The 16,246-nt window shown below is 37.2% G+C and overlaps 1 protein-coding gene across 16 annotated transcripts in view, besides 1 other annotated feature; it reads left to right on the forward strand.

The window, feature by feature from the left end:
* Positions 1–16,246, forward strand: part of SYT1 (synaptotagmin 1) — a 588,027-nt gene that overhangs the window by 510,760 nt on the left and 61,021 nt on the right. The gene's annotated exons all lie outside the window — the stretch shown is intronic.
* Positions 6,352–6,950: an enhancer, noted in NCBI's record as "OCT4-NANOG hESC enhancer chr12:79774873-79775471 (GRCh37/hg19 assembly coordinates)". NCBI's record gives its function as "activates a minimal SCP1, AML or CMV promoter by ChIP-STARR-seq in naive H9 embryonic stem cells {active_cell/tissue: H9 hESC(naive)}" and the evidence as "EXISTENCE:reporter gene assay evidence [ECO:0000049][PMID:30033119]".

Genomic DNA, 16,246 nt, shown 5'->3' on the forward strand with positions numbered 1-16,246 from the left:
TGTATTAAATGCCTACTTACTAAGTGCCACAGTGAGGAGCTGGAGAGCTGGTGGTAGTGAGATGGATTTTGTGATACCTGCCTACAAAGAGCTTGGAACGAGCTCAGGGAGATCCACTTTAAAATACTGTGTGATTTAGATTAGGAGTAAACAAACTTTTTTTGTAAAGGACCAGATAGTAAATATTTTAGGCTTTGCAGGCCACATGGTCTCTCGCAACTAAATATTCAACTCTATTGCAACACAAAAGCAGCCACAGACAGTCTGTAAGGAGTAGACATAGCTGTGTTCTAATCAAACTTTTTATTTATGGATACTGATATGCAAATTTCATGTAATTTTATATGTCATGAAATATTAATCTTTTTTATTTTTTTCAACTCTAAAAATGTAAACATTTTCTTAGCTTACGACCTACAGAAACATGCAGCAGCCAGATCTGGTCCACAGGTAGTAACCTGCCGGGAGCTAATTAACAGGATTTCACAAGAGCTCAGAGGAAGAGTACTTAACCTCCACTGGAGATTTCGTGGGCGCTTCCTGGAGAAACCAAGAACCGGGTTGAGGGATTGTGCAGGGCAAAGGGATAGGCCAAAAGGACAGTGAGAGCTAAGGCCTGGTTGTACAAAACAGATCGTGTAGTGTAGAGGAGCTGCTAAGAAATGAAGTTAGAGAGGCAGAGCCCAGTCAGGAAAGTTGAACTTTATGTTCCAGAGGTGGTGAGTAGCCACTGCAGGGATTTAAGCAGGGAGTTTGTGCTGCAAACTGTAACATTAATTCCAGCTCAGGCTGTGGAATCAAACTGACATGATTAGGATCCCAGTTCTGCCACTCACCAAGCATCTGAATTCAAATCATTTTCTTATCCTCTTCAAATATCAGTTCCATCATCTGAAAACCAAAGATAATCCCTACCTTGCTCTTTGTTATTCTCTATTCTTGTACCTGTCTGCTTCACTTATTGCTCATAGTGTCACAACTGGTAATATAAATTTCATTGCTAACTTGTTATTTGACTGATGCCCCCTCTAGATTGTGGGGCCATGTCATCATCCATATAAACCAGGTACCTAGCAGGGCGCCTGACTCAAAAGTACCTGATGAATAAATGGAAAAAAAAAATCAACTCACAATGATAAAGCCAACCATCTCCCACCTTGTAGTTCTATCACTATCCATGCTTGCTTCTTGCCTTACAAGGATAAATATGTTGTATCATTTATTTAAAACTTGGAATAAAGTCATAAAGAAAAATGATTAATCATTTCTATACATCTATCTTATCCATAATGTTTATTTTCTTGAGCAAGTTCTCATTACACTTCATTTTGCCACATGGCTTTTCCTTCTTCCACTGAGACGCACTTCCTCCAAGAAACTTTCTTAATCTAAATGTTACAGGAAAGGGGTCCCAATCCAGACCCCAAGAGAGGGTTCTTGGATCTTGTGCAAGGAGGAATTCAGGGCGAGTCTGCAGTGCACAGTGAAAGCAAGTTTATTAAGAAAGTAAAGGAATAAAAGAATGGCTACTCCATAGACAGAGCAGTCCCGAGGGCTGCTGGTTGCCCATTTTTATGGTCATTTCTTGATGATATGCTGAACAAAGGGTGGATTATTCATGCCTCCCCTTTTTAGACCATATAGGGTAACTTCCTGATGTTGCCATGGCATTTGTAAACTGTCATGGTACTGGTGGGAGTGTAGCAGTGAGGACAACCAGAGGTCACTCTCGGCGCCATTTTGGTTTTGGTGGGTTTGGCTGGCTCCTTTACTGCAAACTGTTTTATCAGCAAGGTCTTTATGACCTGTATTTTATGCTGACCTCCTTTCTCATCCTGTTACTTAGAATGCCTTAGCCGTCTGGGAATGCAGCCCAGTAGGTTTCAGCCTCATTTTACCCAGCTCCTATTTAAGATGGAGTTGCTCTGGTTCACACACATCTGACATAAATGGGCAATTTTCTAGTTTACATTGCAGTGAGCTGGAAATGAAGCAAAATCTTTCCAATGCATAATTCAGGCTAACTTTTAACTTAAATTCACAGGTAGGGTAAATGGCCCATTTCATTAATGATTTACAAACGTCTGCATGCCTCCTTATCTAAATTGCCAAAATACCTTTATATTTCACTGCCCGATATCACATTATAAATTGTAAATATATGACTTATCTATTCATTAGATTTCCAGAACTCTTATTCTAGGGCAAACAAGAAAGCAATAAAATCCATGTTGAATTTTAGCTCATATTTCTCCTTATTGTTCAATTTCATTCATTCGTTCAACAAGTATCTATTGAATGCTTACTGTGTGCCATGTATTGTTAAATCTTCCCTTTTAGAGATGTTTATGTAACATTTTTTGTTTTTTTGTTTTGTTTTGTTTTTTTGAGACAGAGTCTCGCTCCATTGCCCAGGCTGGAGTGCAGTGGCGCAATCTCAGCTCACTGCAAGCTCTGCCTCCCAGGTTCACACCATTCTCCTGCCTCAGCCTCCCGAGTAGCTGGGACTGCAGGCTACCGCCACCATGCCCGGCTAATTTTTTGTATTTTCAGTAGAGACGAGGTTTCACCGTTTTAGCCAGGATGGTCTCGATCTCCTGACCTCGTGATCCGCCTACCTTGGCCTCCCAAAGTTCTAGGATTACGGTAACATGTGTTTTAAGGTGTTTATTTTCTAAATAGCTTAAATCTTAACCACCAATTTATTTTTTTCTTCTATATGTGTTGGTAATTGTGGCCTAGATAAAAGCTCTAGCAATTGTAGTGACAGGACAAAATATAAAAATTCTCAGGGCTATTTAAATTATAAACAGATTTTAAGAAGCACTGTGTGGTGTTTCTGTTATCCTTCTGCTTTCCAAGAGAATATATCTGCATCCTGAAATCTAATCACATTTACTTCAGGCAGAGTTGCTTTTGGAAATTCAGGCTTTGCCCATATTGTCTTTGTTGTATAAACAACTTAGCTTCCCTTTCTCCCTTTTGTTCTAGAATTATTTAGTACTAATTATAGATTGAGAATATCCAGGGTCAGGAAGACCTAGTCCAGGTCTAGGGAGAATCCAGGTTCAGGAAGAGAGGAGAGCATGGGCTTGGTTAGGGACATATTAAGCCTATGACACCAATTAAGACAACAAATGGAGATGTCTAATATGCAGTTAGTCCACCAAAATTATATTCTTATTTCTTAAGTTTTTCAAACTGCCATGGAATAGTCCCTTTTTCATTATCTCAACCATGACAAATTTCTCATATTTATCACTCCCAATACATTTAAAAGGTGTTAGCTAGAGTGTGTTTCTCACTTATTCCTCATACTATCTAATTCTTAAAGCTCTTAACTATATAAAATGCAGGCCATAAGCCATGGAGTTTTCACTCATCCTTATTTTTAATTCACTTGCTAGATTATCAAATTCAAATTCTCTTCTATTAGAAATCTTTGCCTCACTAACTGGAAGAAGCTCAAGTCTTGATTCCTTTATGCAATCCTTCCAATCCAACCCCAGTTTACAGATGTGTGCCTTTTTCCAGGATAAATTTGGAAACCTTCCGAAATATCACAGATATGACCAACTTTTGAAGGATCTTCTATTGTGGTTATGTAATCTGTGTCACATAAACACAACTCTTAAAATTTCAAAGAGAACAGTCCACTGGAAACAACCTTTTTGATTCTTCTTACTACCAAACAGGCTAGATTACGTAGCCCATGAAGCCAGTTTACAGAAATGAATTTGTAAAGAAAATCGCTTTTAAAGAATCAACTGAAGAGAGGTTAGTTTAGTGGCCTCACAGACTTCATTAAAAACAAATCTTGCTCCTGATTTGGCAGGGATTTTCAAACTATTCTGATTCAAGAACCACTTGTGAAGGTCAAAAGCACAATTTACTAGCCTCATTGGCTATAAAAAGAAACAAAACATGACCCCCAGTGGGGTAAAGGCTTCTGATGAGACACTAGCATTAAATTGCTAACTCATGCCAAAAACAAAAGTATAAAGATTGGAATCTAGGTCAGTAGTGATTAATCCGAGGAACAGGCTGGAATGAAACAACCTAAGGACCCTACTTGGGGAAGCATTAAATGTCATAAATAAAAATGGCCATTAGATGAATTTACAGCCCAAATTAGGAAAGTTTTTCTATCAGTTACTTGCATACAGAACTTAGGAAATTTATGGAAGACGTGACAGTGACTTCCAAAATCGATAGAAAAATTAGTACATGTTTGAAAACAGACTTTGGGTCAAAGTGTTTCTTTTCAAAATAGGGGTGGGAGTTGGGGATGTGTTACCCTCTAAAATCTTCCATAGTAATTTCCTCCTGAGAAAAGAAATTCATTTCATTTTAGTGTTCCTATCATGTTTTTGAGAATTTCCATCCTCATTTTCTGTTCTGAGAGCATGGTTTAGTAAATAGTCCTCAGACCCAATAAACATATCAACAGAGAATTTTTTAGCAAGTTAATCAAAATATGAGGAAAACAATGGGATATGCTTGAAATAACAAGTCACTTGATTACTTAATTAGGTTAACAAGACTGCCACAAATTGAAACCCTGTCGTTTTTTAAAACCTCGGTCGAAAATATTTCTGGGTAATGATTCAAGGAATGAAGAAAATTGGCCTTTTTGAAGGTTACCAAAATGTACCAGCTGTGTACCATTCCAAGGAGTCCTCTGAGAACCCTGAAAATACATACGGGTTTTTGTTAATCATTTTAAAATCTCAAAGAGCAGTCTGTGCTACACAATAATACACGAAATCCACATGAAGCCTCCCGGTATTTTATGGCAAGTCCTACTTAGGCCAAGCTTTTTGGATTTGCTTCAGATCTTTATTTCCAAGCTCAGTAGCAAACTCCTGAAAGCTTTGATTTCAAATAAACATCTCCATTTTGTCTTTTGCCTCTTCATGTAGTAATCGTGTATATGTTTATATACTGAAGAATCAATCATCCAATAGAAATCTAGCTTTGATAACTATGTTTACTAAGAGGATACTAAAATTACCCATAAGGTAATTTAAGGGAATTCATTACCCAAATAAAAGACTATGAGCATAAAAAACTATAGATATTGCTGAGAGTTTACTTACTGTGCTTAATACTTCACATGTACTATTACGACTAATTTGCCTTCTTGAAAAGATGAGGAAACAAGCCTAAGGAAATTAAATAATTTGCTGAAGGTTACACCCGAGAGCAAGCAACTGAACCAATCATCTAACCCAGGCCTTCTAACTCCATTTGGGTCATCTTTTCTGATTTGTGGCTCTAAAACCCCCTTTCCAGAAACAATCTGACATTTTTAGAAACCTTCTTTTAGAATTGACGTATTTTACTGAAAAAGATTCCATTTCTTTTGAAGATTAACCAGAGATTTTAAAGCTAATCTTGGCTTTTCTTTCAACATTTCTTCACCACTGCCACCCCCACCAAAAAATAAGAGAAAATGCAGTTTCTGTCATTTAGATATTTTGAGAAAATATTAACTGCAGAAACAAATTAGCATGCTCTGAAAAACAAGTCCCAGAGTTTAGAGAGACTCTGACAAAGATGCAATTTGAGTGTGTTCCTCAAGCACATTCATTGCCATTTATACCTTATTCACAATCAGCAAATCTGGCTGTGCCTGGGATGAAGAATTTTTTGTTTATTTATTTTAGAGACAGAACTTTGCTCTGCCACCCAGGCTGCTGCATCCTAGGTGATGTAGCCTGCTACATGATCATAGCTCACTGAAGCCTCGAAACTCCCCTCTTGCCTCAGCCTCCCAAGTAGTCGGGACTACAGATACACACCACCCTGCTCTGCTAATTTTTTTAATACATGGGGGTCTCACTATATTGCCCAGGCTGGTCTCAAACTCCTGGCCTCAAGCAATCCTTCCACCTCAGCCTTCCAGGTATCTGGGATTGCTGGCATGAGCCATCATGCCCAGCTAAACAAGTTCTTCCCTAAAAGTGAAGAGGGCTTGTTTAAAAGGACTGTAATAAGCTTCCCTTGCAATTCCCCAAGTGGACTTTGCAAAATGTCCTCCTCCCCTCAATTCTTCCACCTCCTAGAAACACCTATTCATGCCTTCTTCCTTCCTGGAAGCCCTAGGAGTTTCCTGGGGTTCCTTGAGCTATGGCAACCCCATATGTATGATTCCAAATTTAGACAGAGGAGTGTAACCTGTGTCCTAGTGTGCAAGCCCAGGAAAGAGAATTAGCACCAATATGTGATACTAAACACTTGACAATCTTTCCCTCATTTAATTCCTACGACAAAACTAGGTAATACTGTCATTATCAACAATTTGCAGATAGGGCTTAGAGACTCTGAAATCTGAAGTCCATGCCTTTGGCTACTCCACCATAATTTCTCCTAGGATTTAGTAGTTTTTATTCCTTGAAACATTGGCAACGAATGGCCTACTATATTATTATGCTGAATTCCCTGATTCCTACTTTAAAACACAACCATTTCCATTTTCGAAAGATTATAGATCCATCTCTTGCTTGCCTGAAAGTAACACATTCTTTCTTCAAAGGTAAAACTGTACACCTAAACTTTGTAAAACTCTGTAGTTGAGACTGTCTCAAGTTCCTGTTGAATCAGATAATTGTTATCAGATCCCCTTGAAAAAGATAAAAGGACCACCACTGTTACAAAGTACAGAGCAACAAAAGCCAAGGCCCAGTTAACAGCACTTCATTGAAATGCAAGAGGCATCTCTGTGTACTTACTTCCCATCTTAGACACAGGAGAGCAGGGGGTTTGAAGGATTTGAATTCTGAATTTCTGTTAGAATAACATCTGCCAAGAATAAGCCCTGAATGTACTACTTTTACCTGTAGAGAAAAATGAGCTTATCACTCAGGTCTTTGTCGAGATAATACCTACACCTGTTGTCAGGCTAAAGATTTAGATAGTCCTGGATGAAATTCCAGGTCTGCTGTGTGAGTGTTAGGGAGCATGGTTGAGCTACAAATTGCGTGGAAGCAAGCTGATTTTAAGTTGCCATGGCAAAGAAAATGCAGAGAATGAGCAGCTTTTACATTAATGTTTTCTACATCTTGTTAGGATAGGATTGTCCAGCTGAGGGGTGCTTTTTTTGTGCTTCTACTGACATGAACAGATAAAATAATAAACACTAATTATAGAGTATTATAATGATTTCTGGGCTTGCCTCAGAGGGGCGTCTATCTGGCTAGGTAATTACTTCCCTGACAGATAGGTTTTTACGTGAGAATGGAGCATGATGAGCCTAGTTTATTGCCTGCTGATGAGACCACGGGGGAGGAAGGTCATGCGGTATGCTTATTAAGACCATTTTAGTCAACGTGTTTTTCAATCAGTCGTCAGGGTACCCACCCCTGGTTAAAGAAACGCTACAGATGAAAATGACACAGTGATTCTCAGTCGTGCGAGTCTGTTGCTTTAGGGAAGTGACTAAATGGTAAGAGACTTCTCAGGTTGAAGTGGAAGGCATTTCTTGAAAATATGATGCCTTTGCCTATAATGCTCTAAAGTTGATCCCTAGTGTGAAAGAGAGTGCTGCTTTCTGTATGATACTTCATTCCCTGAAAGACTATTTTCCCCAGCTAAGTCAGATTCAAGTTCCTACACAATTCTGGATAATGTTTAGGAGGTATCCTGACTTCAAGGAATTTATATTCAAAAATACACAAACACATGCACTCTTCTCCCTTCTCCCGTAACCTAATTGAGTTTGCCAGGAAAAAGGGGCAATGATTTTTTCCCCTTGTTATTTACTAATAGATAATAAAGAATATATACTAGGGGTAAAAAAGACAGAAAATCAGAGAGTCCAGAGAGGAAAGGAAGTTAAAAAAAAGAAAAGAAAAACTAAATGAAGCTTTTACAAAAATGCGATAGTGTACACGTACTGCCCTTCTTGAAATGATCCATCTTATTAAATGATGTGGTTTCAGTGCTTACCTCTTAGTCCTGCTACACCTATGGGAATTTGGAAGAAAGCTAGGTTTTTCACTTTTTAAATGATGGCAAATGTTACGTGCTCCAAACGCTGAGTAGAGATTCTTGGATTGTGATGAAATATAAAAATATAGTGCAGTCCCCACTTTGAATTACTAAACAAACTCAAATATTGTAAAAAGGCAGGCATTTCTTGACTGCTCATACAACATAAACTTTTCTCCCAAGTAGTCTGTGTCGTGTGTGAAACTGTAGATAATAAATCTAGGCTTGTTTGCCATGTCTTCTATGAATGCTCGAAGGAAGTTTATCCACACCTAAACGTAACTGTTGAAATATTTATTGGCATGACATGCTAATAGAGGCCTTATAGTGCTTTGTGGAACAGACACATATACAGTCACGTGGGATACAGGTATGTTTTGAGAAATGCACAGTTAGGCAATTTCATCATTGTTGTGTGAACTTCATAGAGTGTATTTGCACAAACCTAGGTGTTGTAGCCTGCTACATACCTAAGCTATAGGGTATAGCCTATTGCTCCAAGGCTACAAACCTTTAGAGAATATTATTGTACTGAATATTGTAAGCAGTGGAAACACAAAGGTAAGTAAGTATTTGTGTATCTAAAGATAGAAAAGGTACATTTAAAACACATCATTATAATCTTACAGGACCACCATAGAACATGTGGTTCATCCTTGACCAAAACATTCTTGTATTTCCACTTCCTCCCTAACTATGAATATTTTCATGCTGTTCAATATGGTACAATGGCAAAATAAGTTTATATAGTATAGATGGCTATTCAAGATATAGTTATTTAAATAAAAAGTGGGTTTTTTTCCTAAAAACAAAACAAAAGAAAATCTCCTTTTGCTTTTCTAACTACCCTTTATGTCCATTTTGTTGTTGTCCCTTGCAGAATTTACAGTATTAGACAAAACACACAGTGGAAGATCAGAATTTAATTAGATTTGTTTGTTGTTGAAACAGCTTTCAAATTCTTTCATCTTATAGGGAGTGAATCCCTAGATTACTCACAGACACATGAAAATAAAAAACTACAGAAGAATGTTCACATTGCATTTCAGTTCTTCATCATGTAAAGCACTTGGGCCTTTCTAAAAGATGCAAATCACTCTTTATTATTTTGATGAGCTAACAAGATGAATTCATCTCTAGAACACTATAAAAACTAAATTGTGAAAAATGGCGCCAACCATATAACCTGTCCTTGATCATACCTATTATTTGGTAACTCTGTGGGGAAACTAGAATCTTTTAGAAGTATTATTTGTGTCCTAACTATTTAAGTGGATGATTTACCCTCCTCTAGGAAACTTAATATTGAGAGTAGGCTGAGAGGTGATCACGTTAATCTGGAAAATTTTTCATAAATTAAGGAAATTGAGTTTAATAGTTACAGCAAATTCTCCACATGCATCATGTTTCTGTACTGAGTGCTGAACTATACAATAAACAAGGAACTGAAAACAAGCTTTGAAAATATCCAGCAGATTCAAGTATTGCTATTTGGCCTAACAACCTCTTAAACATATGCTCATTTGCAACTGCAAATATAAAAGCTTTTGTGTAAAAGGCTTTATATTTTATACACAAAATATAAAAAATTTTGTAAGATTAGATTTATATGCCAAAAAGAATCTTTCATATATATAATTCTGTAATTCTTAGATATCAAAAACAAGACTATTTGAACAGTTTAGTATTAAAATAAGTGACAACTTACATTACTTATGAGGGCACGTAATCAGAGTGGCTGTACCTGAACTAGGTACAAAAATGCTTAATACTCAGCTTAACACTAGCATGTAAAATGTATGTGAATTCAGCAAAACATATTTTAAATGACTTTACATTCCATTGCTATGTATGTTATAGACACAAAGTTATGGCACTGAGATGAATCACTACTTTTGACAAACATTTTTTGACACTCTCACCTGGGAGATCCGGAGCACCATCCACTGACAGCCAAAATGATCTAAATTTATAGTTCCATTGTTTCAAGGCTTGAATAGAAGCATAGCAGAAAACAAGAATGAAAGCTGATTTTCTATTGTTGGCCGATGTGAAAAAACGTCATCACTTATTATATGATAGGTTTGGTTGGCTTTCTCCTGAGTTACGTAAGATGTTATGTTCCTGATCTGTTTATGTATGGGTGTTTAATACCCAAATCTTTGAATTATTGTTAGATTATTTACTATCTTTTGCTAGTAGTTATTCCCACCAAGCAATTTATAATAAGCAGCTAATGGAAGGGACCACTGGATTTTTTTTTTTTTTTTTTTGAGACAGTCTCACTCTGTCACCCAGGCTGGAGTGCAATGGCATGATCTCAGCTCACTGCAACCTCCGCCTCCTAGATTCAAGTGATTCTCCTGCCTCAGCCTCTCTAGTAGTTGGGATTACAGGCACCCACCACCATGCCCAGCTAATTCTTGTGTTTTTGGTAGAGACAGGGTTTCACCATGTTGGCCAGGCTGGTCTTGAACTCCTGCCCTCAAGTGATCTGCCAGCCTCGGCCTCCCAAAGTGTCGGGATTACAGGCATGAGCCACTGCTTCTGGGCAGGACCACTGGATTTCCATATGGAAAAAACTACTATCAAAAAAAGATTTTTTTTTCCAAACTCTACATAGATAAGGATTGTATAATCAGTTACTGGAAATGCATTCTTAGGATTGTTTGCATAATTTATTTTCTATGTATTTGTGGATGCTCAATCAAGCTTTATGTATATTCATTGATTTTTTTCAAATCTGATTGCCCTAGTTATGCGTGTTTATTCCCCCCAAAATTGTCAGCCACAATTAAAATTAAAATTATGATACCAAACTTACTGGTGGTAGCATGCTATAATTTATAATTCAAGATGGTATCAGAGCCACATTATATACTAAACTGGTTTTGTATATGCAGTTTATCATAGGATTTAGAACAAATCAGTGTATTAGGCCAGAGTTACCAACTGAAGGGAGCATCAACCAACTGTGGTTATACAATTACCCATTGTTGTTGTTGTTGTTGTTGTTTTTTAATTCAGGAAAATGTGTTGTATATGAATATACTAAATAAAGGAAATAAAGCTATTAATAGAATGTGCCACTGGTGTCTTAGGTGAAAACATACACCAAGATTCATAACTCCCCTAAAATTGTTATTGTCAGTTAGCTGGATAAAGTGGTCTATGACTAAGTTAAAAAGCTAGAAAAATCTTGTAGTCAAAAGGAAAACAAACTTTGTTATGTATACTCAGGCTGGCCCACAGAAGGTGGTGCATGGCAGTGCTGGTGAATATCATTGCTGCAGTCTCTAATACTGCTGCAGTGCTGCCTAGCTGCTACTTTAAACCAACACTGGCTCATCTGGGGCCTTGAATTACCCCTTAAAGGTTGTATGGTGCATTACCCTGCTATTTTAAAATTACTTTAAACCATTCCTAAAGAAAGGTACCACATCCTTCTCCAGAGAAGAAGTTATTAGATTCTTTACAAAAACACATATTTATTTAAATAATAAATTTCCAACAAAAAATTCACAATTATAAGATTCCTTTGAAAATTACCAGGGTTTTCCCCAAATACATTTTTGGGTTTTTTTTTTTCCTTCCTTAGTATTCATTAGTTTTCTTTTTTCTTTTTCTTTTTTTTATACTTTAAGTTCTGGGGTACATGTGCACAACGTGCAGGTTTGTTACATAGGTATACACATGCCATGGTGGTTTGCTGCACCCATCAACCCATCATCTACATTAGGTATTTCTCTTAATGCTATCCCTCTCCTAGCCCCCCAACCCCCACAGACCCTGGTGTGTGATGTTCCCCTCCCTGTGTCCATGTGTTCTCATTTTTCAACTCCCACTTACTAGTTTTCTATTGTATGAACTATCTTCCATGCTTATTTTGCTTTTATTAAAAATAAGAAATCTGTATTCCTGGTATTCCCTGGTGTTTCGATCTTTTACACACCTATTAGAACCATAATTTCTGTAACATCATAACGCTTTTCAAAACGTCTCAGTGCCTGTTCCTGAAGTTATTAGTTTCCAAGTCTCCTCAATGCCTAGCCTCGTGCATCCATGGGTCTGTAGTTGCGCCTATAGCATTCTCATTGCTACTTCAGTTTCCCTGTGACCTCCTACTTCACTTCTCTACGGGTGTGCACTCTCCTTATCTTTCTTGCTTTCTCTCTCAACGTTAAATTCACATATATGAAAGACATTCTATGGGAAGAATAACCTACTCCAGCATTTAATAGAGCCATTCTAAACATATCTGACATAGAGATGTCCGCCTGTCACCTGCCTATTCAGGAAATGAGCTTGAGATTGGAGATAGATATATTATTGCAAACCACAATCAAGGCTAATATCTTAACCTGATTTTATCCTAATTTATCTCTGTTTATCTTCATTTTCAGCATTTCTGCTCTTTCTACCCTCTCTTACCCACCTTGTAATCTTCAAATACTATATCTAACTGATACCCTTCATAAAGGGAATATTTTTGCACATATTATGCACTTTCAGTTGAAGAGACAGTAACCCTCCAAGACAGCAATGGCCCAGAAAAGAGACTAGAAATGTAGTGATAATTCATAAGTCAACATCTGCCTCTCTTTTCTACCTTAGCCAAGTTTAATGCAGAGGGCATTACACTTAGTTCTAGTCTCAAGTCTACCATAATTAGAACCATAATCATGGGCAAATCATTTAACTTGTCTGGGCATCAATCTCTCAATGAAAAAACTAAGCTATTTGACACATATGGCCCCTTTTATGTTTAAATCAATTTTATTGTTTTTTACTAAATGAGGTGTAGAACATTGACCCATCAAATGAAATCACTGTAAAGAATATAAAAATTATAGTTAAATAACATTTCAAATATGAAGCTATTTAAATGTCAACTGTGCAGGCAATTTTTAAATATTTCTAGTCAATCATAATCACTGCTTTCTCAGTCTTTCTATTCTTCCTATAAGCATTTGATTAAAGTTGATAACACAGAATTCTCTTTTAATATGCATTCTGTTGGGGATACCAATTAAGATTTCTTTAACTTGTTTATTTTAGAAATTGTTTATAACGCCAGGCAACAGTTGTAAAGAGGATAACATTCCCAGTAGATGGTTTTGAAAACTTCTATAATATCTAATTATGTATAGATCCAGACTGTTTATGTTTGGCATACAAATAATTGCTGGGAGTTAGAATGGTTTGATCAATACATGCAATTAAGTGCACATATGTTAACCTTTTTCTTTAAAAGTTACTTTGTTATATGAACATTTATTTTTTAGGTTATATATTTAATCCCAAATCTTTGCTATCTCATGAAGACCAGTTTGTCATAAACACTTAATAAATGTCATTTTGTTCAATTAAAACAGAAGGGCCTGTACATCCTATGCATACATACTTTTTCTTCTACTGCATTGTACAAACATTTAAACCTGTGTGTGTATAGCTTCAGGAAACTGTAGCTGGAGCTGGGCCAGAAAATGTCTACAGTAGCCTTACAATAGTTTTCTAGTTCCTTGGTCACTACTATGCATCACGAGTGCCTTTACCTATGTCCTTTTCCTCTTCAACCTATATACACACAGACTTTTTCCTGCTTCTTTAAGGGGGAAAAGTCTGCTAATTCAGGTGAGGGACTATGTGTTTGAAAAAGTGTTTTCAAATAAAATACTTGGCCAGTCACAGTGGCTCACATCTGTAATCATAACACTTTGGGAGGGTGAGGTGGGTGGACAACCTGAGTCCAGGAGTTCAAGACCAGACTGGGAAACATGGCAAAACCCCATCTCCACTAAAAATAAAAATAAAAAATAAATAAAAAAATAGCCAGGTGTGGTGGCACACACCTGTAGTTCCAGCTACAAGGGAGGCTGAGGTCAGAGGATCACTTGAGCCAGGGATGTGGCGGTTGCAATGAGCCAGGATCGTACCACTGCACTCCAGCCTGGGCAACAGAGTGAGACTCTGTCTCCATAAATAAATAAATAAATTTTGTAGTGGTAGAAGTTTCTAAGCAGGGATTTCCATGTTCTACTCATAGAAAAACTTACAGAACAAGCAGGTACTTTAAACCCCAACTTCTAGGGCTAACTACGTCATGGAAATTATTCTATAAGGACATGATCTACATCATTACATCACACATGAGTCCAGCCCTCTTTGTCTAAGCCTGTGACACATACTTAAACCCTGCTGTTTAACAAATCAACTCCAAAGTAACCCATCTTTGAATGTCATTAAGGATGAGTATCTGCAATGCAAGAAACTTTGTTATCCCATGATGTTTAGAAAAATCTGCTTAATAAGTAGATATATTCCACTTGTTTGTTACTCTCCATAGGTACTCTCTCTCTACTTACAACAGAATTATATGTAATCAGTTGTTCTCATTCACATAAACAAACCCTGACAAGAAATAAAAATGTGGTAATATCAGTTCTCTGCATCAAGGAACATTTTTAATAAACTGTACTATAGAACGTCTTACTAATCAGATCTTTTAACAAAACATATGTTAGCCGTAATTTCTGTACTAAGACACTGAATCTATATTACATTGTAAAAATTTGAGTATGAGCTATCTATACGTTCCCAGCATTGTATCCTATGTAAAAACCCTAAATTAAATAATACACCCAAAGAAATTGAGACCATTTTTAGTTAATTTAAGAAAATAATGTCAGATATTTCCAGTTGCTAAGCATTTAATATGAATCAGGCACTGTGCTAAGAATTTTATAGAGAGTAGCCCATCTAACCCTCACAGTAACCCTATATGGTAGGTACTGTAATTAATATTATTTTACAGAGGAGGAAACTAAAATGTTAAAAGCTTAATTGTCCATAATTGTAAGTGGAGCTAGAATTCAAACCAAGTTTTTCTGGCTCCTGAATTATATTTTTATACCACCACCTACCAGTACATTTATATTCAGGTTTCTTTGGCTATCTCACCATAAAATGCTGCCACCCCATCTTAATGGTTGAGGAGATTCAACTCTCAGTTCTACCATAAGCAGTAGCATGCAATTTTAGCTATAGCTCTAGAAGTATCCAAGATTATTTAGCTCAATTTCCCAGCTCTGTAGGTTAAATTCATTGTCTTTAATGTGTTTCACTCTAGCTACCCAATGCAAATTATGTCACTAAGAACAAAGGAATAGTCACTACTTGTTTGTTTCCAATAATTCTTTTTTTTTTTTCTTTTTTTTGAGACGGAGTCTTGCTCTGTTGCCCAGGCTGGAGTGCAGCGGCGCGATCTTGGCTCACTGCAATTTCTGCCTCCTGGGTTCACACCATTCTCCTGCCTCAGCCTCCTGAGTAGCTGGGACTACAGGCGCCCGCCACCATGCCCGGCTAATTTTTTTGTCTTTTTAATAGAGACGGGGTTTCACTGTTTTAGCCAGGATGGTCTCGATCTCCTGACCTTGTGATCCGCCCGCCCCAGCCTCCCAAAGTGCTGGGATTACAGGCGTGAACCACCGCGCCCGGCCTCCAATAATTCTTTATTATATACTGTGCTGTATTGAATTACCTTGGATTCCATTATTTTGCCAAATCATTTATTTATAAGGTAAATTCCTAGAAGTAACATTTCTGGGTCAAACGACGTTAGTAATATTGATAGGTACAAAGGCTTTTTGTTATTGTTTGTTTTCATTTTTATTAAAGTTATGCATACAAGCACATAGATTTAAGAATCAAACAATTCTACAATTTTTTTAAAAGGATAAGAAAAGCAGACACTCCCCTCACAGTGCTTGCAGGCACCTCTTTTAGCTTTTTTTTTATTTTCAATTTACCCTCTTGTCTCTAGATGATACGCTGCTTGGTGAATTTTGTTTCAGCGTTACCCACTGACTCCCCGCCATGGAAAATGAGGGTTTAGCTCTTTTCTATGCACACACATATTTCCAATATAGTTATGCCATAATTTTGTCTAGCTCAATATTCAATTCACATTATTGGGATTATGTGGAAACTGCACAATTGAGCCCTATAGTAACCTTTCAACACTTTTCCTTTCTCATCTAGCATTGTTTAATTGTCCCATTGGCTTAATTTTCATGTGTTTATTACCAATTCAATCCCAACCTCACTGCTGATTGTCTAAATCTCTCTCAAATTGCTCATCCTTATGAAGTAGCCTTCCCCAGAACCTGACTTGCTACAGTCTAGACTGGTTGCTCTCTAACTCATCCTGGAGATTCCTGCCATCTGTGTGGGAGCTTCTAATGTCTTCCTCTTT

Source organism: Homo sapiens, chromosome 12, assembly GCF_000001405.40.
Source record: "Homo sapiens chromosome 12, GRCh38.p14 Primary Assembly".
Taxonomy (NCBI): domain Eukaryota; kingdom Metazoa; phylum Chordata; class Mammalia; order Primates; family Hominidae; genus Homo; species Homo sapiens.